Source organism: Homo sapiens, chromosome 10, assembly GCF_000001405.40.
Source record: "Homo sapiens chromosome 10, GRCh38.p14 Primary Assembly".
NCBI classification, from domain to species: domain Eukaryota; kingdom Metazoa; phylum Chordata; class Mammalia; order Primates; family Hominidae; genus Homo; species Homo sapiens.
The window spans coordinates 113,467,830-113,493,271 of NC_000010.11; the positions used below are offsets into that span (position 1 = coordinate 113,467,830).

At 42.8% G+C, this 25,442-nt stretch overlaps 1 long non-coding RNA gene and 1 pseudogene across 2 annotated transcripts, besides 1 other annotated feature; one reads left to right on the plus strand and one right to left on the minus strand.

The window, feature by feature from the left end:
• Nucleotides 1–14,663: 14,663 nt before the first annotated feature.
• On the minus strand, nt 14,664–24,500 carry LOC107984270 (uncharacterized). 2 transcript variants are annotated; one of them, XR_001747591.2, is made up of 2 exons: nt 24,164–24,500; nt 14,664–17,788 (listed from the first exon to the last, which is right to left on the minus strand). It is a non-coding gene; the product is annotated as an uncharacterized LOC107984270 (long non-coding RNA). The 2 variants fall into 2 exon arrangements; XR_001747592.2 differs by lacking the exon at nt 24,164–24,500 and adding an exon at nt 18,868–19,681.
• Nucleotides 14,787–15,284, plus strand: PPIAP39 (peptidylprolyl isomerase A pseudogene 39; annotated as a pseudogene).
• Nucleotides 23,848–25,047: an enhancer, noted in NCBI's record as "CDK7 strongly-dependent group 2 enhancer chr10:115251436-115252635 (GRCh37/hg19 assembly coordinates)". NCBI's record gives its function as "activates an origin of replication core promoter dependent on BRD2, BRD4, P300/CBP, MED14 and CDK7 cofactors, with strong dependence on CDK7, by STARR-seq in HCT116 cells {active_cell/tissue: HCT116}" and the evidence as "EXISTENCE:reporter gene assay evidence [ECO:0000049][PMID:35650434]".

Genomic DNA, 25,442 nt, shown 5'->3' on the forward strand with positions numbered 1-25,442 from the left:
AGAATCGCTTAAACCCGAGAGGCGGAGATTGCAGTGAGCCAAGATCGTGCCATTGCACTCCAGCCTAGGCAACAAGAGTGAAACTCCATCTCAAAGGAAAAAAAAGAAAATCATGCACCAATATCCTCCCCAAACACAGTGCAAAAGTGCTTAACAAAATGTTAGTAATTCTATTTTAACAATGTGTAAAATGGATAAATATACTGTTTCCAAGTGTGATTTATTCCAGGAATTCAAGATAGTTTAATATTCAAAAATCAATAAAACATCATGGTGAAACTCTATTTCTACTAAAAATACAAAATTAGCTTGGCGTGGTGGTATGTGCCTATAATCCCAGCTGCTTGGGAGGCTGAGGCAGGAGAATTGCTTGAACCCAAGAGGCAGAGGTTGCAGTTAGTCAAGATCATGCCACTGCACTCCAGCCTGGGAGACAGAGCAAGACTCCATCTCAAAAAAAAAAAAAAAAAAAAAAATCAATAAACATAGTTCATCTTAGGATAAAGTAGAAATCTCATATGATTATCTCAGTAGATATAGAAAAGGCATTTGATAAAATTTAATACTCATTCATGATAATGAATATCAACAGACTAGAAATAGGAACTTTTTAAAAGTGATAAAGTTCTTCTACGAAGAAACCTACCGCTAACATCATATTAATAGTGAGAGATTAAAACTTCTTCCTTAAGATTGAAAACAAACGAAGGTAAACATCTCTCACCATGTCTGTTCAGTACTGTAATGGTGGTCCTAGGCAGTGCAATAAGACAAGAAATGTTTAAAATAAGAGGCCTACAGATTGGAAAGGAAGCAGTGAGACTGTTTGGAAATGACATAATTATATAAAAAATCCTGAGAATTCTCTAAACGAGCAACTGAAATTAATGTACCAATTTAACAATATTTTGTAATACAAGGTCAATATACAGTAATGAATTGTATTTCCACATACTACCAAAGAAAAATTAGAAAATAAAATTCTAGAAAAGGCAATTCTAATCTATAGTGACAGAAAGTAAATCGGGGATTCCTTGGGTGCGTGGAAGGAATAGAATTGACTACAAAGGGGCATAAGGGTATATTTTGGGGTGATGGAAATGTTCTGTATTTTTATTGTAGTGGTGATCATGTAGGTATATATGTTTATCAAAACTCATTAAATCCTACAATTAAAATGAGTATATCTTACTTTTTATAAATTTTTGTTTTGATAAAGATGATGTTCAAAAAAGTAAAAAAAAAAAAAAGGGAGAGTTTCCACTATATTAGCAATAACCTACTAGAAAAATATAATAGAACTCAAGTTATAATTCCTAATAGCCCACCCCCATCCCCACCTCAGGAGTATCTAGAAATTAACCTAAAAATATACAAGATCTTTACAGAGAAAAATCCGGATAAAATAAGACCTAAATAAGTAGAACCCCAGTACATGGTTTTATTTTATTCTATTTTATTTTATTTCATTTTATTTTATTTTATTTTATTTTTTCTGAGATGGAGTTTTGCTCTTGTTGCCCAGGCTAGAGTGCAATGACACAATCTCAGCTCACTGCAACCTCTGCCTCCCAGGTTCAAGCGATTCTCCTGCCTTAGCCTTCCAAGTAGCTGGAATTATAGGTATGAGCCACCACGCCCGGCTAATTTTTTGTGTTTAGTAGAAACGGGGTTTCACCACGTTGGTCAGGCTGGTCTCGAACTCCTGACCTCAGGTGATCCACCCACCTCGGTTTCCCAGAGTGCTGGGATTACAGGCATGAGCCACCGCGCCCGGCCAAACTCAGTACATGTTTATGTACATGTTGAGATGTCAGTTCCCCCTACATTAATTCTTTAAATTGTACTCAATTCTAATAAAATTTCATCTTTCTGGATCTTTAGAAAAATAAAGCTATATAAACAGCTAAGATAATTTTGAAAAATAAAAGAGCAAAGAAAGAAAACTTTGCCGTGTTCCATATCTAGACATTACAAAGGTGGTAATAAAGATAGTGGGATACTAGTGCAGGAACAGACAAATAGACAACTGGGATAAAGAAAAGAACTCTGAAAGAGATTCATAGTCTGTGGTAAGGAGGCACCAGTATTCAGTGGAGGAAAAAAAAAAAATGAATTATTTAGTAGTGCTGTTGGGGTAACCGGCTCACGGGATGAAGCTGAATAAAGTTGTAGCTCTAATTCAAACCACATTCAAAAATGACTCAGGAAAGACCGAAATGTGAAAGAAAATGTTATGAATTCAATAGAAGAATGTAAAAAAGACTATCTTTTTGACCTAAGGGTGATAAGGATTTCTTTAATAAGACACCAAAAGCATAAATCACATGACAAAAATTGGTGAACTTGACTACATCAAAATTAAATATATCTGTTCAAACGTGGCCACTAGAGCCGTGGTTAACGAACGTGTTGCTGCAGATGGGGAGGAGGTAATGAACGCTGTCTAACCTAACAAAGGAATAGGCCCTAGAATATAAGATACTGCAAATTAACAAGACAAAGACAGGAAATCTAATGGAGGGAAATGAGCATTTGCTGGAAGAGGAAACTAGATGGCTAATGAGTTTATGAAGAACTGATTAACTTCATCAGTAATTAAAATAGCAATGAGATGACATTGGGAAACATTAGAAAAGTTAGAAAAAAAAGATCAGGTGTCAGGGAGGATGTGGGGAAGCAGGAGCCTTCCTAGCAGCCAGCACTATGCACAATTCTCCAAAAATACAAGGACCCCATGTCCTTTGGAGATAGACAAGGGTCTACAGCCATGCTACCATCAGTGAGCTCAGGATTGCTAGCTGGCCCCTTGGGCAAGAGTGGCACAGAACTGTTTCAAGTAAAGCAAGGTGGAGCTGTACATGAACTACCAGGTAATCTCCAGGGCTGCCTGGATGTAGGCCAACAAGAGAGACCATGGTGGCATTCAGATCCTGGGGCTCATCCGGAGGAGATCTGGGGACATTCAAGAGGAGGGTGTAGCATGCACTAGCTTTCCACTTAGGAATGCACACAATGGGGGAAATACAGAAGGGTCATGGGACGTTGGGAACATGAACACCCACGCCCTGCTTCTCAGTCTTCCAAGGAGGGAAAGAAGCAGGCAGATATGAGATCCTCAGTTCTGACTCTTCTGGTACTTCCAACATGCCTTGGGACCCTCTGTAGGGGCCATTCCTGCCTCAGAATCCTCATCCATGCTGTGGGAGTGGCCCTGCCCCTATCCACCTCAGAGGCCAGGTTACATAAATATGACGGCCTGTAATTTCAAAATCCAAGTAGCGGGTTGGATCATTAGGAGGAGTTTGCTGGGCTGCTTTGAGGTTTGACCTATTTATTTTTCACCAGGAGCTTTTTTGGAAACATTCTTTGTTAAGGTTTTTCCTTCCCTCTTCCTTTCTTCCCTCTGACTTTGACGTCAACACAAAAGCCAGCGTGGGCAGAATTTGGGCGTTCGGGGACACTGCAGAGCAGTGAGTCTGTTCCTGGCCCCTCCCAGACTCTGGTCTCTGCAAGAGTCCCATTGAACCCCAAGGACAAAGGACAAGGCTTCTCATCCTTTGTCCCCTAGATCTCTCACTTTCTAGTCTCCTCTACCCAGCAGCCCAGGTCTGGGGGTACCAAGCAGAGGCCTCAGGGCCCCACGTTTGCCCTAAGCCATCTAGGTCCAAGGTGTAGTCACACTTCTCCAATCTATTACTCCATAAAGAATTTCAGCTCTGTAAAGTGTGCCCCAACAGAACATTCAAGAGGCGGAATGGGTTTGTCCATGGGAGACTCTGGCTACCATCTTCACATCCCCTAAAAATTTCCCCACCTGGCTGACAGATGTCTCAGAATTTGTCATTAGAACTAAAGTCAAAGAGGAAAAACTTCAGCCCTGACAGTATCTCATTAAGCCTTATCAGCTATTTACACCTCAGTGTGAATGTGATGCCTGGAGCTTTCCTGAGAGGAGAGTGTGAGAAGATTGTAGAGCCCTCCAGAACCCTGCTGTGTTAGTCCATTTTGTGTTGCTATAAAGGAATACCTGAGGCTGAGGCTGAGTAATTTATTAAAAGAGGTTTATTTGGCTCACAGTTCTGCAGGCTCTACAAGCATGGTGCCAGCATCTGCTCAGCTTTTGGAGAGGCCTCAGGAAGCTCATGGTAGAAGGCAAAGAGGGGGCAGGCGTGTCACATGGCAAGAGACGGAGCGAGAGAGAGAGAGAGTGGAGGTGTCACACTCTTTTAAACAACCAGATCTCACATGAACTCATTAGCGTTCACAGGATGGCACCAAGCCATTCATGAGGGACCTACCCCCAAGACCCAAACACCTCCTGCCAGGTTCTACCTCCACCATTGGGGATCACATTTCAACATGAGATTTGGAGGGGATAAACATCCCAACTATAACACCTGCCAAGTAAGATGGGGACATCTAAGGAGGAAGGGGACACAGATAGGGCAGTTGAGGCTGCCACAGACAAATCTCACCCACCCTGACTGGTCCTGCTTGGGACTGGCCTGAGCAAAGCCTACCAAGCCCCCAGGATGCTGGCCTGTCCTCTGCCAGGCTCTGTGGCCCCTGCTGGCACTGGGGTGTCAGACCCACTTGACTCTCCCGATCTCACCTTTCCACTCCCTCACTCTTTCACCATCTCTCTGCATAAATCTCTCCTCCTTTTCATTGCCTCCTCAACTTTTTTTTTTGAGACAGGGTCTCACTCAGTCGCCCAAACTGGAGTGCAGTGGTGCTATCTCAGTTCACCACAACCTCCACCTCCCAGGCTCAAGCAATTCTCCTGCCTCAGCCTCCCAAGTAGTTGAGATTACAGGCACATGCCACCACGCTAGGCTAGTTTTTGCATTTTTAGTGGAGACAGGGTTTCATCCTGTTGGCCAGGCTGGTCTTGAGCCCAGACTACTGGCCTCAGATGATCATCCGCCTAGGCCTGCCAAAATGCTGGGATTATAGGCATGAGCCACTGGGCCTGGCCTCTTTCACATTTTCTTTCATGCTGCTTTCATTCTCTTCTGCCTCCTCTATCTCACTTTTTTTTTTAAACCATGCTCAGTCTGCTAGAAAAATGGTGTTTCTCCATCTACTCAAGCCATTTTGATAGCTTTCAACAGGGAAACATTTTATTCTATGTGGATGCTACACATTCGATAAGCATGCACTCCTTTTCTCACCTTTTTCCTTCTATACTTCTCTTCTCTGTGAACCTCTTCTCTCCTTCTCTTTCTACATCTTCTTTTCAGCTGCCTGAACATCTCAATTGTACCATGTTGGCAGATCCTCACTCGTCTGATATTTTATATTAGGTGCATCTGCTTTAACTATTCCACTTAAAAATTAAACCCATCTGCCCCAAACTGAAAACAGCCTCTCCCTGACCAGGGACAATAAATATTGATGACTTGAGGCATGATTAGCTTTTATGATGTTTGATGACAACTGGTATCAGTTACAGAACTTACATCATTTAATAAAAAAAAAAAAAAGCCCTAGTAGGGATGTTGCATGTCAACAGACATTATTAGATGTCAAAAGAAATACATGTTCTTCAAGAGCCTAAAATCTAAACAATGTGAGGGGCTGGGGAGGGGTTCAGAGGGGGAAGTTTGGACAACTTTTATGTGAAGTTAGGAGTATCGTTTCTTTTTGTGTCCACCCTAATTTGTCCAGTTGAGTTTTCTAGAGCCCTACTACAGCCACCACCAAAGACTTCTTCAAGAAATTCTCTTCCTTGATACGATTTGGAAAGCTGAGCTTATTTGATGTCCCTCTCCTCCAACAGGAGACCTCTCAGATGCCTCCATTTGGGAGAAAACTGAATATGTCAAAGGGCACCAGATCTGGGAACCAAAGGGGAGATGAGAACACTTGCGCCCTCTTTATTTTTGTTGTCAGTATGAAATCAGGACTGTCTGGCTCTGTCTGAGGTTTAAAGCAAATAAACCAAGATCTGGTACGTGAGCCTACTGTGCTTCCATTTATACCCCAATGCGTTAAGTATAAATAGCATTATTAAGAAGGTGGCTGCCAACATTTCTCTTTACAGCACATTCAATCTTTAATAAAAAGATGGGTGGAAATATTTTACTGCTATTTCAACTGTATTTATGTGCTTTAGGGAGCTGGATTCTGACTACCTACTCTACTTCCGGAGACTCATTTGGGTATATTTAGAAAGATCTTAAATTCCTGTGGTCTTGAGAGTGGTTTGGTGAATTAAACCCCTAGAGACTAGAGACTTTTTTCTTTTGGAACAGGGTTTTACTCTGTGTTCCAGGCTGGAGTGCAGTGACAGTAACACAGCTTACTGCAGCCTTGACCTCCAGGGCTCAAGCAGTCCTCCCAGCTCAGCCCCGCAAGTAGCTGAGACTACAGGTGCACACCACCACACCCGGCTAATTTTTGTGTGTGTGTATTTTTGGTAGAGACAGGGTTTCACTATGTTGCCCAGGGAGGCCTCGAACTCCTGAGCTCAAGTGATCCACCCACCTTGGCCTCCCAAAGTGCTGGGATTACAGATGTGAGCCACCTTGCCCAGCTTAAGACTTTTGTCGTTGTAAAGGGTAATATGGCTACTTCAAGTTCCTAACTGACCCCTCTCCCATCCCCAGTAGTTTATGCTACGGGAGAATCAGACTCCTCTTCAATCACTGCAGCTGTGGTCTCCCAAGGAACGTTCTGGAAAAAGAGAACAGAACTGCAATGGAATGCAGAGATTTCTGCTGCTTGATCCTGCATTTGTAAAACAGGGTTACTATTAATATCTATCTTATGGGGTCTTTGTGGAGGTCACAGAAACATTGTTTGTGGAAGTGGTTTGAAAATGGAAAAGGGCTAGGAGTTCTCTCTGCTGGGGAAGCAGCACGTCACTGGGAGATCACTGGGCTGAGGTTGCTACTTAATAGCTGGGGACTTTGGACAAGTCTTTTACACTCTCAGAGCCTCAATTTTACCATCTGGGAAGTGGAAATGATAATACCTCTTAGGCCTCTGGTGCAGATGCAAAGTGTCTGCAACTGTTTAGCAAACAATGAAGTGCCGCATTCTTTCATTCAGAAATGCCTTGCAACATTGACTGTGTGCCAGGCAAGCTGCTAGGAGCTGGGGATGGAGAGAGAAATTATCAGAAGAGCAGTTCTGACCTTGATGACACCACTCAGCAGCTCTGGCTTCAGAACCTGGAGGCACCACCAGGCTATAGAGAAATTTCAGCAGTGGTGGAGGGAGGTGGGAAGAGGAAGTTTCAAGGAAAGGTGTGAAAGAGCAACTGGGTTTCCATTGTCCAGGCCATGCAGTGTGGAGAGTGGGGACGCTGAGGAGCTGGGAGTCTGTCCTTTATTTGATGAGTGGTCTGAGGCCAATGGAGGCACAGGAATGGTGCTGAAGGGAAGGAATGATGCTGGGCTTGGATCAAGTAGGGACACAGAGGCTGGAATGATGTGTTGCAAGACCTGGGATGAGAAGAATGGTGAGAAAAATGCAAGGTTTATTAGGATTTTTATAGATATTGTGGTTGTGTTCATGTTTACATGATTTGCACTGTTTTTGTGCAGTTAAGGCTGGAATGAAATGGGAATGCTTGGAAGGTCCTGAGTCCAGGTCCAGACAGGCCCTCTTCACTCCGGCCTGTTATCCGAATGATCTTAGCCACCAGAGGGAGAGGGCTGGGAGGGCAGACATTGGCAGGATTCTCTCAGGAATGACTTTCCTGTGATTTGTCCAGCAATTCCTCCCTGCAGCCAAACCAGAAATACCACTGAACCTGAGGTATTTGGCATGGGTGATGCATTCTGAATCCTTGAAGGGCAAATAGCTGTAAAATAAAAATGGTTCCCTTAAAAGTTCACTGACTTAGTCCTTGGAGCATGTGTACAGAGGACGGGTCCAATAAGGCTCTCACTTTTTCCAAAGGAGCGTCCCCAAGCTAATTAAGAGCAAGTGCAAACAGATGGGAAAGGCATATTTCCTAATAGAAATAGGCTCTTCACCACAAACCACCATCGAATTAATAATAAAAAAAAATCCCCATCTCCCCCTTAGTCCTTCTTTTGGAAATTGTCCCTTCAAGTGAGGTGGGCATGCTGGTTGTTTTACTCCAAGGAATTTAAGAGAATCAACATGTTTTCGTTTCCTGGTTGCATCTGCGGTTGAATTGCTTAAAATATTTCACTTCTTAAGGTAACCTCGGTTTGTTATGGTAGATTTTTTTGTTTTTTGTTTTTTGGGTTTTTTCCTTGGAACTTTAAAAAAAAAAAAAAAGACAGAGAAGACCAGCTCCAGGAAAAGAAAAAGAAAAAGAAAAAAAAAACCCAAAAAAATACAACTTCTAGTTGTCAGAATCGGAATGCTTATCAGTTATGCTGGGAGACAATGAAAACATCAAAAAGCACATACAAGCCATAAAAAATTCAGGTCCTCTGAAGCAATGTGGGACACGCTTGGTTGTGCTCCTCATTTGCATGCCAGTACCCACAGTGCTTTGCAAGCTCCTAGATCTTTCGGAGCAGCCCCAGTGTCTGAGCTCTAGGGAACAAAGTGAAAGGTTGGAGCGTGCTTCTGGGGAGAGAGGGACGTTTGTGTCTGCACAGAAAAGCAAGGCGGGTGTGGGTGAGAGAACTTCTCCCCCCGTGGTGATTAGCAGCCAGCCTTTGAGGGCTTAATCACAGGCTTGAGAGCTGTACCTGGCCTTTTGTCTTATCGTTCTGTTGCTTTTTTGCCTTCCTCTTCTTCCCTTTCCCCAGAATGCTGCAACGGTGAAGGTAGACTGTGCAGGGAAGAGGAGAAGGATGCCAATCTTTAGAAGTCCTGGTTGTGCTGCTATATCCCTTGCCTGGAATTGGAGATTTGTGTGCAGTGTGTATCTTCTGGTGCTGGTCCTCACCTCAAAGCACCTTGGCCTTTACATCTGTTCCCATGGACAGTCCATGTTTGGTCAATGTGAAGAACTTAGAGGTGCCATCGTGCCTTCGGCTGGGGGCAGGGGTTCCCCTTAACCTTGCCAGTGGGGCAGCCTCTGACCTCACTCTTCCCACCCACACACATTGCCTTTCCCTCCAAACCTTGCTCTTCAAAGAGTCCAGCCGAGCCATTGTCTGGATGGTCCAAATTCTCGAGGTGGCTTGGGGATACAGGACTCAAACTAAGAGCTGGGGGAGGAGAGAAGTAAATTTGGCTCCTGACCGGGCCCCCTCAGCCTTCTGGGTGTATCACATACCACCCTCATTTCTCCTGCCCTTTCCAAGCCTGTCCTGTGGGGTCAGGAGATACAGAAGGGTTGGTGACTATTATACAACTTGATTTTAACAAGACCAACTGTTCTGGGGCATTACAAAATACATAAAAAATAAAAGTAAAGCTCAATCTTTGAGGTTGCTACCTGGAAAGTTTTTCTCTGGGTTTGTACTTTGATTTTTGAGCTGTGCTTTTCTCAATGCTGCAAAGGAGTTCTTAGGCTAGATTAATTTAGCAGTAGGAAGATCTGGGCAGAAGAGTTAATGTGTATACGTGTCAGCTCTCAACCTACCCCCTGAAACTCCCAGCTTCAGAGGTAAGATAAAAGTCTGCCCCTACCCACAATTTAGAAGCAGGCTGCCCTGCAAGCCGGATCCAGTCAACAGATTTGTTTGCTTCAGCCTGTACACACTGTTGTACAGTGTGTTGAATCAGTTTCCAACATTTTTTGAATCAGGGGCTTTATAGCATTTCTTAAGACATCTGAAGATCTGGCCACACAGGCCGACATTTCTCATAGGAACCACCAGCCTGGGTTGCATAGATAGAGCCCCCTAAGTGGTAGGGGGTTGGGGGAGGTTGAATCTTCTCCTGCTGGGCCTGCAATCTCTGGTCCACCACAGTCCCAAAGGCCTTTGGTCTTAGACTGCCCACTCCACTTCCAGATGTTCCTATCCCGCTCTTGCAGGTCTCTGCACGCTCAGCCTTGGCTGGGCTCATAGACAATCCCTGAGTTTTTCCACTTTGTTATCCATAGCATTGGTATAAGGGTGTCCAAACCCTCAGCTGTGACAACTTTTCATAGTGGGGATAGAGAGGAGGCAAGACTGAGGGCCCTGACTCACAAGCCCTCCCAGCTTTTCTGTCCCAAATAAAGCAAATGCATTTTTTCACCTGCTAGAGCCCGAGGGGTTCTCTCTGCCCCCACCCACCTCCTCCTGGAATACATATTTCCTTTCCTCTGATACCTAAAGTATTCTGGGGTGAGGAGTAGTTTGCAAGATTTGGATTTTTAAAAATTCTTTCCCAGATTTGTTGTGTCTAATTTGGGCTGCAAGCGGTTTTTGGTGTCAATGACTAACCACTGTTTGGTCTGCACAGCCATTTCTGTTGAACTTGGATAGCGCTGAAAGCCCAGTTTCCCCCAAATAAAGTCTAAATACATTTACACATTTATTCCCACATGCATCTTTGTGTTTCTGCCTGTCTCCTCACACCTCACACATGTGTGTGGATGGGAACGTCCTGGAGAGAAAAGGGGCAGGTAACTTAAGCTTCTACTGTGAACTTCAGAAGAGAAAAAACATCAGCAAGTTGACCCAGTTGGATGGTAAGAGATAAAGATGCTTCCAAGAAAAGGTGTTAGAATGAGAGTTTGGATTGGAATTTGGTTGTTTCCTTGTGATCTAACAGACAAATAATATCACTAGACAGAAAAATGGGACATAAAATAGAGAGTTTAGGAAAATATGTGAAAAAGGTCACTATCAAAATTACCCCTCTCCCCAAATCCAGCTGGGATTCTTTATCAAAATCAGAGCTTTCAGTAGGTTTAATATTCACCAGTTTCTGAGACAGTTATAACAACAGGTGATGCCGGGCTTTAATAACACGGATGATGACAGTTACCATTTACATATTGACTCCTTTAATCCTTACAACAACTCCATAAAAGTGATATCTCATATACCCATTTTACAGGCAGGAAAACTGACGCTTAACATGATTAAGTAATTTGACCAAAGCCCGAGAGGTGGAAAGGGATAGAGCTGGCATTTAAACCCATGCTGCCCTCCAGCATATCCTGGGCTGGGACAGCAGAATGGGTACCCTCCTTGCCAGCTGGCTGGAGTAAGAATCTGACAGACAGCCCACCTTGGTCATGACTGGCTTGGGGACTGGCACAGTGGAGAGCCCGAGGGAGACAAATGGCATATTTGGCCCACAATTCCACTGCTAAAAGTGACCCTCAGGGATGTGCCATGAGAGTCACTGCCATGAGAGGACCAGTGGCTCCTCTCCTCTCTGATGAAAACTTGGACCTTTGGAGATTAGCCCCACTCTAGGCTATTTGATAGAATGGGCCACAGCCTGGGCAATTCAGGTGAGTTTTGTTGTTGTTGTTGTTTAATAAGACACGGTCTCACTCTGTCACCCAGGCTGGAGTGTAATGGCACGATCTCAGCTCACTGCAGCCTCAACCTCCCAGGCTCAAACAATCCCCCCACCTCAGCCTCCTGAGTAGCTGGGACTGCAGGTGCCTGCTACTAAGCCTGGCTAATTTTTGCGTTTTTTGTAAAGACAGAGTTTCACCATGTTGCCCAGGCTGGTCTCAAACTCCTGGGCTGAAGCAATCTGCCCTCCTCAGCCTCCCAAAGTGCTGGGATTATAGACATGAGCCACTGAGCCTGGCCTCAGGGTGATTTTTTCAGCCTAAATACCTGTGGCCAAGCCATGGGACACTGAAAGTGCTCACTGCCTGAGGGTGCTGGGGTCTGACTAAGCTGATGCAGCCATGCCTGAAGCAAGGCCCAGATGGACAGAAGGTCAGAACGGAGAGAAGCCACGTCTTCCTCTGTGTCTTATCTGGAGACGGTTGGGAGGGTGGAACGGGGAGGCTGAACTCTGAAGCATATGACTGGGGACCATCAGTGACTACGAAGTTGGGGCTAGGTGACTATGTAGTGACTGTCAGATGTTGGCAGCTGCTTAAACAAGCTGAGCTGGGCTGAAGGCTCAGCTTTTATATACCCCTTCCCATAGACATTGAGCACCTAAGGGGGGAGGCATTGTACCGGGGACCGTGGGAGAGACCAAGATGGACAGGCGGGTTCTCTCTCTAGCCACTTACACAATTCCTCTTTGGGGAGCCAGCTCTAGAAGAAACTCAAACTTCAGTGAGTGACAGCAAGTCATTCTAATTGGGAAATGTGCACCCAGGGTCAGGGATCATGTGTATTCATCTTTCCCATGCCCCATGTGAATCACAGAGCTGGGCCTTTAGTGGGAGTTAAGTAAATGTTTGTGGATCAATGACTGCTTCAGTCAATAATTGAATTTTTAGGGGCTTTTGGAAGGACTTGTGGGAGAGGAGGAAATTGAGTGTATGTTGTATCTGTTAAAATTAAACTTGGTGCTAGTAACAGACATCTGAATTAACAGTTGCAATAAATAATTAGAGGTTTATTTTTCTACCATATAACAGTGTCTGGAGGTTAAGAATCTATGGCAGTATGGCATCTTCACGTCCATCAGGGACCCAGCCTTCTTTTATCTTTCTGCTCTTTGGTCTTAAACTCATGAATTCCAACCCCAAGATTGCCTGACGGTAACAAGATAACTACTGGAACTCCATTGATTACATCCATGTTTTAGGTAGGAAGAAGGAGAATGGGGAGAAAGACAGCCTTTCTAGAAGGCTCCATTGACCTCCACCAACATTTCATTGGCCACTTCTAATTTCGAGGGATATTAGGAAATATATTCTCTTGTCTGGGCACATTCTCAATCTGAGTAAAATCTTGCTTCTGTTAGGAAGAAGGGAAGAATAAATCGTGGGTAAAAAACTGCAGGCTCTGCTTTGCAAGATTGGGTCTTCTTTATGGAGAAGGAGAAGGAAAGGTATTCAGCAACACAACACTTGTTTCACTCCTGTCCTCTGAGATGCACAGGTTTGGGACATTCTTTATTGTGACCTGATAATGTGGCAAATATAAGGCATCGGAGCCTGGGGCACTTAATTAGTTCCTTGACTATTCAAATCCTCCTGCCAAGGGCTTGGTTAATTGCATGGACTTCTCCTTCATTATTTTCAGCTGTTTAAAGTGCCTCTAAGAACACTCATCCTCTATTTTGTGTAATGAAGCCTCTGGTGAAAAATGGAGTCTGACAGGTATGTGGACAGAAATGCCCTGCAGGGGCAGGCAGAACTGGCTGTGTTAGCCGGCAGGTAGATGGACAAATAGATGGATAAAGTCTTTGGTAAACATGGAGCATTACTCAACAGCAAATTTACCACCTCTTGCTGACTCAAACCAGCTCTTGCAGAATACTTAATGACTTCTGCTAAACAAAACACTAGAGTTTCTCACTTTTTAAAAAGTCTACAAAAATGAAAGCTACTGTGTAAAATGAGTGCCAAATTTCCACTCATATGTTTGTTCAGCTTTCTTTGCTTTTCTCCCAAACCATAACGAAATAGACGCTATCAATTTTCCCAAGATGGCAACCTAACAGCTAGCCAGGTGTTCTCAGATAAGAAGGGCTCCCTTGACACAAAGAGTTTAACGGGGTTGGGATATTTTCCAGTTTTCTTTTCCGAGGGCTAGGGAAGCTGGATTGAGGTTTCTGAAGAGGAGAGGCAGGATGGTGAAATGGGAGCCCGTGGGCTGCTTCTGCCTGTTGTTCCTCTTGACAAACTTGCTGAAGGGGTGGATCCCCCCCTGCTGAAACCACCAGCTTCTACTGGGTGTGCTGGAAATTATCAATCCTTGAAGGAGGTGAAATTATCCTAAACCCCAAACCTCACCAATATTCCAGTCCCTGGAGAAAGGCCTACTGAAAGGAGAATGAATTATTTATGTCATCCATACTAGTAAGTTTTACAAACATCTTCCTTTCCAGTTTCACTATAAACTCCATACCAATAGGAAAATGTCATTATTACTCCCTGTTCTAGCCCTTTGCCCAGAACATAAGCAGTGCTCAGTTTGCTTCTTGGTTATGTAGGTAATAGCATTTAGTTTCTTTCTGGAACAGCGTCCAACTTGGCTTCTCCCTTACCTTTTGTTGTACTTTGACATATTTTCTCCTAGACATTTTCTTTGTGTTGTTTTTTTTTTTCAGTGACTGATGCTCTACTGGATATGAAATCGTGTATGCTTTGTCAAGTAGCATTTTAGGATAGTATGTTCCCATTTGTGTTAGTATAGGCTAAGCTGCTGTAACAAAGAGGCCACAAAACACAGAGGTTTAAATAAAATAGAATGTATTTCTCTCCATACGACAATCTTAGGATAGTCCAGGGCAGGTAGGCAATTCCGTTCCACAAGGTCATAAGGAGAACAGGCTAGAGGAGCAGCCCTCTCTTCCTTAACATGTAATTTCTGAATTTTGGTCCCAGTGAGTCCTGTACTTTTCATCATTTCCGAGCCAGAGAGAAGAGGGAAAAAGAATAGAAGACAGGCAAATTTCTCATAAAAATAAAATCCAGAAGGCACACATTTCACTTCTGCTAACATCTCATTGGCCAAAACTTAGAACCTGGCTATAGTTACCTGCAAAGGAGGCTGGAAATGCAGTCTCTAGCTAAGCAATCATATGTCAGAAATTGGCATTTCCAAATACCCAGTGGATATTCATCAGGATATACAAATGAGAAGTTGGAATTCCTGGGAATTCTTAGAAATTTCTGAAATAATAAGTTATCCTTTTAAAAAAAAAACTTTTATTTTAGGTTCAGGGATACATGTATAGGTTTGTTATAAAGATAAACTCGTGTTATTCTGAAAAGACTTCCATTTGCAGACATCGCTGCTGCCCAGAACTCCCTGCCACCAGCCATGGCCAACCCCACTGTGTTCTTCAACATTGCAATTGATAGTGAGTCCTTGGGCTGCATCTCCTTCAAGCTATTTGCAGACAAAGTTCTAAAGATGGAAGAAAATTTTTGTGCTCTGAACACTGGAGAGAAAGTATTTGGTGATAAATGTCCCTGCTTTTACAGAATTATTCCGGGGTGTGTGTCAGGGTGGTGACTTCACACACCATAATGGCACTGGTGGCAAGTCCCTCTACAGCAAGGAATTTGATGATGAGAACTTCATCCTAAGCATACAGCTCCTGGCGTCTTGTCCACGGCAAATGCTGGACCCACCACAAATGGTTCCCAGTTTTTCTTCTGTACTGCCAAGACAGAGGATGGATGACAGCATGTGGTCTTTGGCAAGGTGAAAGATGGCATGAGTATTGTGGAAGCCCTGGAACGCTCTGGGTCCAGGAATGGTAAGACCAGCAAGAAGATCACAGCTGCTGACTGTGGACAACTCTAATAAATTTGATTGTTTTATCTGAACCACCAGATCGTTCCTTCTATAGCTCAGGAAAGCATGCTTCCACCCCATTTGCTCACAGCATCCTATAATCTTTGCACAGTCCTTTGGGTTCCATATTTTCCTTATCCTCTTCCATGTCTAGCTGGATCGCAGAGTTAAGTTTATAATTACAAAATGAAAACTAAGTAACAAGAAGAAAATAAAAGACTTCCAGCAATTTTTATACTCTTTAGTCATTACTGTGGATATCTAAAAGAAATTGGTTTAATAAATAAGAAATATTACATTTAGCAAATTTATAAACAACTATAGCCTGAGATAAAAAAAAAATCAAACATTAGAAAATACCAGTGAACATTTTTGGGTAATATTCAAAGAATGTGACATTCAGATCTCCTAGCAAGGTTAAAGCACTACACAGAATCACACATTGAAATTGCCAATTAAGGGCGTATTTTGCTTCCCAAATTTGTTATTTCCTAGAACATCACTAGCAGGATTTGAATAAAGTATACATACATATAAACCTAATACTGCTTATTTTATTTCCAAGAATGACTTGCCATTAGCATCAGTCAGGGCCAAGAACACACACTTAGAACAGGACAATGGCTACAAGCAAGATTGACTGATCAGCTCTTGACCTATGTGCTCTCCTATGTGCTATATGCTCTTCCACCTGCCAGCCTTTCCTGCTCTTGCTTTTCATTTGACATTGATGGATTCAAACCAGTGATGTCTTTATGTTGATCATTAAGCCTTGATTCCTGCAGGATAATTACAATACTTTTTCCCAATTTCTTGACTGATTTTTCTTTCGAGATTTGGAGAAACATAAAAAATTCTCAAGAAATACTGGGAAGGAATTCCAGCGTGGAAACACTAGTCAGGGTGTATGTATGAAGCAAAGGGAGGAGGTTCTATTACTAAAAGACAGGAGAAAATGGGCACTCAGAGTCATCTCTGCTCAGGACTAGCTAACAATTTATAGGCTCAATGTGAAATGTAAATGTGGAGGACTCTTGTTATAAAACTATTCAGAATTTCAAGGTGGCAGCCATGGAGCATTAAACCAAGTGTAGGGCCCTTGTAAGTGTGGAGCCCTGTATGACTGTGTAGGACCCACACCCATGAACCTGGCCCTGTCTCTGCTACATTGTGTCATTTAGAAATCTGAATTGATGTCCGTTTTAGTGGCTGCATAATATTTCATTGTGCAGATTTACCATAATTTCTATAACAATTGCTGTATTCTTGGATATTTTTATGGCATTGAATGAAGCAATCTTTTCAACAGCCCTCAGGAGCTGCAGACCACTGTTGCACGTGGGCTGTTACCCACAGGGTTTGAGTATGAGCTAAGGCAAGAGAAGCAGAAACCAGGACCAGATGGGAACTCCCAGGAAGAAGGCAGCATGGTCATGAGCAACATCAAAGACATCAAAGATAAATCAAGCCAAGACAGGGTCAGAATACATCAGTAAGGGAAGAATGGCAGACAAGGCAAATGTGGGCCTGTCCTTAGAGGTGGGGCCTCCAATAAGCTTCCCAAGGAATCTTGCTCAACCAAGGGCAGTTGTTGCCTTTTGCTTGGGGCAACCTGGTTCTTCCCAGTGTATCTTTGAGCTGATCTCTCCGAATTTCAAAGAGCCCATGCCTGCTCAGGCCATCTCTATTCATGTTGGATGACTGTCTCTCTTATAAACTCTGGGCAGACTACGAATCAGTCCTTAGGGGCTAGGAGAGGAGAGGAGAGGATATGCTGGATGATCACTTTCTGCAAGTCTCCAGAACCTCCTGTTGACTTCTGTGTGATGGTCAACCTGAGACGTCTTGTTCAGTGCAAATGAATGTGTTCTTTTTGGCTGACACATTTAGTAGGAACAAATGAATGTGAAAGAGTAGGAGATGCTATAAGGTAGGGAGGAGAAAAGCATAGGGAACAGTTGTCTCTGGGTCCGAGACATCTCTGACACTATAATTTATAACCCAAATGATCTCAGTCAATGCGCTTAGCTTTTCTGTGCCTCATATGTAAAGTGGGAGCAATGTCCCATTTATCTGAGGGGTCAACACACCTTTGCTGTAAAGGGCCACATAGTAAAATAAATATTTTGCACTTTTCAGGGCCTAGAGCTTTTGTCACAACTACTCAACTCTGCCATTGTAGAGTAAAAGCAGCTATAGACAATATGTAAATAAATTGTGGTGGTTATGTTCCAATAAAACTATATTTACAAAAACAGGTAGCTGACAATGGTTTGCCAAATCCTAGCCTGTTTCATAGAACTCTTGTGAGAATTAAATGAGGTACGTGTGTCAAACGCTACTGCAGGCCCTCCAGGATAAGAGTCATTGTCATGAGGAGTAGGACAGACAGAGAAGAGCAGGTGGGAGAGTTGCTCACAGCCTCACAGGCTTTCAGGACTGGCCCCCCGTCATTTGCTAACAATGCCTCTTTTGACGATGTCCAAAGGGTCTTCCTCATCCACTTTTTCTTCCTAGGAGCCAAAGTACCAAAAGGAGGAATTTTGAGGCTCTATTAAACAGTTATAATGAAACATTTATCTTCTATATTAGTCATTCTGTGTAATTATTTCTGAGGATGAATTCTTTCCAAGATATATTTACAGACACATGGCTGCAACCATGAGACACACCACTGAGAATTTTCCAGCTCTTCTTTTCCATGCTCTATGTTCTTTTTTATTCTTCCATTCATTTTTAAAACATTTTATTGTGGTAAGAACGCTTTACATGAGATCTACATTCTTAACAGATATTTAAGTGTACAATATAGTATTGTTATCTCTAGGCACAGTGTTGTAGAGCATATCTTTAGAACTTATTCATCTTGCATAACTGAAATTTTATTCTTGTTAAATACCAACTCTTTTCCTCTCTCCCCCTAGTGCCTGGCAACCACAATTCTATTCTTTGCTTCCATGAGTTCAACTATTTTAGACACCTCTGTATGTTCTTAAAAAAAAATCTCTCCTTTTCAATATTGTCAGCTAAGTCCTCCCAGGGGAACACTTGGGGAGAAGTTATCTCCAGCCTGAGACCCCCTTGGTAAGCTGCAAAAAGTTGGAGGTCACTCAGAGTAATGGTGTCTAAGCAGAACTTGATTTCTGCATTTTTTTTTTCATCATAGAATCTCCTAAAGAGCATTTTAAGATGGAGAATCTGGTCTTGGGTAGGACCTAGGAAACTGTCATTATTTAAAATGCCCCAGGACTGTATAGTCCTAGCTACTTGGGAAGCTGAAGTGGGAGGATCATTTGAACCCAGGAGTTACAGGCTGCAGTGAGCTATGGTCGTATCACTACGCTCTAGCCTGGGCGACACAGCGAAACCCTATCTCACAAATAAATAAATTAATAGTCCCCAGGTGATTCCGTGGCCCAGCCAAGTATCTTCTTAGTTCTAGGCCAGCCTCCTCCACTTAACCTCTCTGTAATAGTTCCCAAACTCCACTCTTCAAAACTCCTAGCCCCACAGTTGCCTGCATTGCCTCCTCTTTTCTTTGTCTGCTTGCTTTGTTAGCCAGAAGGCAGAGAGCACGAAGGCATGTTAGTACCTGCAGTGATGGCTCTGCACTCCAAGAAGGAAATGAGTTCTCATCGGCTTGGCCAGCTGGGAATGCTGGAACTGGTATTCTCAGCCTGTGGACTCAAGAGAGCACTGGGCCAGGAGGGTTTCAGTGTTTCCAAGTCAATGCCAAAGGCACGTACACCGGTGGATGGGAAAGACATTGATTTTTCTTGAGATAATACCTCAAGTGTATTTGTTCAGTGTCTTTCAGAAACAAAGCCTTGTCTGATTTATTTTTATTGTTTTTTTGTTTGTTCCGAGAAGACAAAGCTTGTCTGACTAAAGCAAACCTCAGTGTTTTACTGTTCAGTAGCTCCTGGGAGTCAGGTTGTTCACATCCCTCTGTTAAGTGCATTGATGCTTCAACAGATACTTAGTGAGCACCTACTGTGTGTCATTGTGGGCTATAGATAGCTTTGGGAGAGTCAAAAGACCCGGTGGTTTCTGAGATGGCAGCCTGGCTCCTGGAGCCTGCAGTTCCCCATGGAGGGGCCTCTTAGTTCTAATCCCAGTCCTGCACAAAGAAACCAATCCCAGACAAAAGTATTTTAAGAGCACTTGGACAAAATGCTCAGCAAAACAGGTTTGTTGTCTGGCCTTGATGTCTCACTTCCTGTACCTAATTCTTGCCTTAGTTCCAGCAAGCATTTATTAAGTGCCTGCCACATAACACTGTGCTAAGTGCTTCCCACCTGCTGGCTGATTTGATTGATCCTCCCACAATCATAGCGGGTGATATGGTTTGGATTTGTGTCCCCACCCAAATCTCATGTTGAATTGTAATCCCTATTGTGAGAGAAGGGGACTAGTGGGAGGTGATTGGATTATTGGGGCAGATTTCTCCCTTGGGACTGTTCTCATGTTCATGAGTGAGTTCTCAAGAGATCTGGTTGTTTAAAAGTGTGTAGCATGTCCTTGTTTGCTCTCTTCCTCCTGCTCCAGCCATATAAGACGTGCCAGCTTCCCCTTTGCCTTCTGCCATGATTGTAAGTTTCCTGAAGCCTCCCCAGCCTCCTGTACAGCCTGTGGAACCATGAGCCAATTAAACCTCTTTTCTTTATAAATTACCCAGTTTCATGTATTTATTTACAGCAGTGCAAGAATGGACTAATACAGCAGGTATGATACCCATAAGACAGATGGGGAAATTGAAGCTTGAGAGACGATTTGCCTGACAACAAAGCTAGTCCTCCCAACTCCTGTGCTAAACAGACTCCCATAGCTTCTGTAACTACCCAGCTTCTACCATAGCTTCTGTCACTACCCAGTTAATTGTGCTCCCAGGTCAGATCTCGTCTTCTCCTTTAAGCCCTCAACCCTGGCCTTTAAAAATCAAGTATCCTGTCACCATGATGCTTTGGTGGGGAAATAGTGCATTCATTATTCCAAAAGAACAGGCCTTGTGACTAGAAAACCACTCCTTTCCCTCCAGGTCATTATTCTTTCTGGGGAATCACTAAATCCTGCTACGCCCCTGCTTCTCAAAGTATAGTCTCTGCACTAGCAGCAGCAGCAGCACCTATGAACTTATTAGAAATAAGTAAATTTTGGGGCCCCACCCTGGACCTACTGAATCAGAATCTCTCAGGATAGGCTCAGGAATTGTGTTTTAATAAGTTCTCCAGGTGGCACTGATGCATGCTGAAGTTTGAGAACCACTGGCCTAGATGGGATGCCTCAGGTACTTCAATAATAGCACAGTAGTGTGCACTTACCACAGACTGCTGGCTCTATAAGATATCCTGACAAGGGACAACAAAGACAGTGAGGGTGGCACTTCTGTGTTCAACAATGTGTGAACATTGCATATTCTGCTTCCCCCTTGGAAATTCTTAAAGATATTGGCATACTTAAGACCAGAAAGAGTCTTGCAATAGGAAGAGCTGCTTAACTTTACTCAATCACTATCTCCTAAATTGAGTTTTAATTTTAATTATGGAGTTTTTCTACTTTTTTATAATTTCAACTTTTCAGGGGATACATGTGCAGGTTTGTTACACAGGTATACTGCATGGTGCTGAGGTTTGAGGTACAAATGATCCTGTCACCCAGGTACTGGGCATAGTACCCAATATGTAGTTTTTCAACCCTCACCCTCTAGTAACCCCCAATGTCTGTGTTCCCATCTTTATGTCCATGTGTACCCAATGTTTAGCTCCCACTTGTGAGAACATGTGGTATTTGATTTTCTGTTTCTGCATTAATTTGCTTAGAATAATGGCTTCCAGCTGCATCTATATTGCTGCAAAGGACATGATTTCATTCTTTTTTATGGTTGTGTAGTATTTCGTGGTGTGTATGTACCAGATTTTCTTTATCTAGTCCACCATTGATCAGCACCTGGGTCAATTACATGTCTTTGCTATTGTGAATAATACTGCAATGAACATTCAAGTTCAAGTGTCTTTTTGATAGAACAATGTATTATCCTTTGGATATAAACCCAGTAATAGGATGCTAGGTTAAATAGTAGTTCTGAGTTCTTTGAGAAATCTCCGAACTGCTTTCCACAGCGGCTAAACTAATTTACATTCCCACGCACAGTGTGTAAGTGTTCCCTTTTCTTCGAAGCCTTGCCAGTAGCTGTTATTTTTTGACTTTTAAATAATAGCCATTCTGATGGGTATGAGACAGTATATGCCATTGTGGTTTTGATTTGCCTTTCACTGATGATCAGTGATGCTGAGGATTTTTTCAAATGTCTGTTGCCCACTTGTGTGTCTTCTTTTGAGGAGAGTCTGTTTATGTCCTTTGCCCACTTTTTAATGGGATTATTTTTTGCTTGTTGAATTGTTTATTTATAGATTCTGGATGTTAGACCTTTGTTGGATGCATAGTTTGAGAACGTTCCCTCCCATTCTGTGGGTTGTCTGTTTACTCTGTTGATAGTTTCTTTTGCTGTGCAGAAGCTCTTTAGTTTAATTAGGTCCCACTTGTCAATTTTTGGTTTTGTTGCAATTGCTTTTGAGGACTTAGCCATAAATTATTTGCCAAGGCTGACGTCATGAATCTTTTCTTTTACAAAATACCTGTTGATATCCCAAGCAACTAGTAATGTCTAGCACACTTTGAAGTGTTGATCACTATGATCCTCAACTGTAGATGACCCTATAGCTTGAGCATATTTAATCAGAATTAAATTCCAATAGCCATATCAAAAATTGAGAACATCATACAGAATTGTTTTAAAAAGTCACTTTTGGATCCATACAGAACCCTGTGTTGCACAATTCCATGGGACAGCCCTGTGAACAGGGTCCCCCGGAGTTGGGCAACCCTGAAGTATGGGCCTATCATCAAATATTGGATTAATGAAAGGCAAAGGAACTAAAATGTTTCCATCTATCAGAAATAATTTAGAATCCAGGGGCATAGGGGAGTCTAAGGAGAGGGTTTCCAAGATATTTAACTCTCTTAACTTCATGGAAAATATTTCAGGATGAACTTTGCCAATTATAACTAAGCCAATAAATACAATTACATTAAATGTAGTCATATTCCTGCTCCTTTGAGCCTAGCTAATTTTACATTATAAAAGCATTTGATGAGAACACTTTGTATTTAGGTAACATCTTTCATCCCCAAGTCTCCAGGATCTACTTGAGAGATGATTGGCAAGTAAATTCCCCAATGCAGAGGTCCCTCCTCTGGTGGAATGGTGAGTCTCTAATAGAAGAAGGAAATTTGCTGACACTGGAGTCACTGGCTAACTATTGAAGATGGTATCAAAGCTAATCAGCAGACAGAAGAGCCAGTCTGGAGGACATGACTGTGGGCTTTATATTTCTGTGAATTAATTTAAGAAAAATAAAAGGAATAGTTATTTCTTGTTCTCTTTGTGGTGCTCTAAGAATTTCACATTTAATCATGAGATGCCTGCTACCTCCAGGCCCCACTCATGCCTAAGAAGTGCCCCAAATTACTTTGCATTAGATGCTGGTTCCAAGTTCAGCAGGGAACCAGAAATGTTAGATGCACATAAAAGTTGGGCATAGGGAGGAGGTGAGAAGGGCCAGCTTTGAGTTCCCTTCTACTTGGCAGGTGTCTTCTTTTTCTCTTATTTTCAAACAAAGTTTATTATTTCCTCCTCTATGAGAAGAATATATTCTTATTATAGAAAATTTGGCAAAAATAGAAATGCAAGAAGCAAAGAAACTCCCATGATCCAAAGAGAATCACTATTAACAATTTGATGTATTTCCCTCCAGTCTTTTTTCTATGCATTTTAAAAAACAGGATTACAGTCACACTGTATGTACAATCCTGATTCCAAGGTATTGTGGTACAACCTAGGCATATGCCCATGTTTCTTTTCAAACTCCACATTAACAAATGACACCATATACTCTTGAAGGCAAGGACGGGGTCAGCTCTTACTCATCATAGTGACACGAGGACCTAGTACAGACCTTGGCACACAGTAAATGTTGTTGAACAAAATAAAAATGAAGAGTAGGTCATGAAGTGGATATACCAGAATTTATGTAACCTGGCTTCCAATGCAGACATGAAAGTGCCTCCAATTGTTTGCTGTGTTAGGCAATGCTTAAATTTTGTTGTGCTTATTTTCTTTTTCTATGTTGAGATTATTACCTAGAGCAGATACTGTCAGCATCTAGCTGTTTTCCCTCAACCTTTCTGAGGGGCACCTGCAGACAGTCCATGGGCAGTCTGCTGGCTTCCTGTGTCACCTGTCTGAGTTTGTTCTCTGTCGGTTGAAGCATACTTGGTCTATGGACATGTGGAATAGCCTGAATGTGCTCATGTTAATGTCCCTGAGCAACCCTCAGCCAATGGGAGTGGGAGTTACTGGGTAAACATTCCAGCTTCCTTGCTTCTCAGGGTGACAACTGTAAGGTGTGTTCTACACAGTCTGTCAAGTGGTTCTAGAAAGATGGAAGCCCCAACTAGTCACAGTGTCCAACTCATTAGCGTGTCCATATATTGGCTTTCCTCTCATCCTTGCTTTCCACATTCTCCATTCCCTCATCATGCTTCCTGGGATCACCTCCCAAAGAAACTGCTTGCACCAAACCTTTGTCTCAGGCTCTACTTCAGGGGACCCCCAGCTAAATATTATTAACGTTGGATAGAGTCTCAGAAGCAGAATTACTAAGTTAAACCAGATGGATTCCTTAAAGATTCGGGACACATATAGATTGGCAAGTAATTTCCATATGGGGGTTTTCAGAGCTCTTTTACTAATCTCTGATTATACTCAAAGAATCTAGACCCTGAACTAGACCCTCAGGAAGAGGAGGAAAAGAAGTCAAAGCACTTACCTGCCAGGTCTGCACTGTAGGATTGTTAAGCAGTTTCGTTTGAGTTTGTTCTTTTGTTGTTCACTTTTCTCTGTTGTTTGCCTTGCTTCATTTTCTCCTGTGTTCCTGGACAGAGGCCAGTGGTTATAGAATGTTCCCTTTTGTCTCTACAAATGGAAAAAGGGGGAATTGACTGCAGCAGAGAAAAGAATCTGGGAGGAAGGATGAGTGAAACGTTGCTTTGGAATATTTCAGCCTTGGGTCTCTGTAACAACCAGTTTGGTATTTTCAAGGAAAATGAAAGAAATAGACTGTGCTATAAACAGGTTTTTGTCATCATTAAACCCTTGCAATCTATGAAGAGTATGCACTGTTGTGTTCCAAAATAAAGCTGCATGTTTGGGGATTGTCATAGTGACCTAGAAATCACAGTTTCTCCAGGGAGACATAGGAATGAAGTTTCCTAACAGCTTTACCGCTAAAGCCATGGCTGCACACAGAAAAAGGACTGAGCCTGTTTTTCCAGAAATGAGAGACAAATTACCCTTTTTCCTAAGGTTGCCTGGACATTCCAAGAAAGCCTGGTCAATCTTTGCTGGATGGACATGGAAAATAGACGGTTGAGCACTTACCTTTTGTGTCCAGGTACACAAAATCCTTATCTATCCAGTTTTTGCACATTACATGTGATGGAGATTTTTTCTTTTGTTTTTGTTGTTTACAGAATGAAGAGAAGGATGCCTTGGTCAAGGTCAGCTTAAAGTCAGTTGTTAACTTAGACGTGCCCTTCCTCCAACCAGAAAATGGAAAATGTCAGATGCCTCCCAATTGTCCTGAGTCCGTGCATCCTTTCTAAAACTTCCCCAAGCTCTTCCCCACTCTTGAAAATTCTAGCTTACTCATACATCCATTTTTTGGGGGAAGGGAATCACACCACACCCACAAACTGGATGCTTGGCTGCCTGCAGGAACAACTCCAGCAGAGTTCTAGGTTGGGCTGATGTGGGAGCACCCCATGTTGTGGTGGAGGAGCTTATGTGGCAGAGACGGCTTCATGTTTACCAAACTTGACTTCTTTTTCCTTCTAGGATGCACAGCTAGACAATGCATCCCAGCCGCCATCACTGTTCCGTGGACCACGTGATTGGCAGAGGGAAGATCTATGTCATTTCCAGCCCTGGCTCTGTCTTCTCCACCCCTTCACACTCTGTCTTTCCACCACTCTTACAAGTGGCTGTGCAGCACTCCCAGGCCGCATGGGATGAGGGAAAATGATGGCAAAAGACTGGTCCTTAAGTCA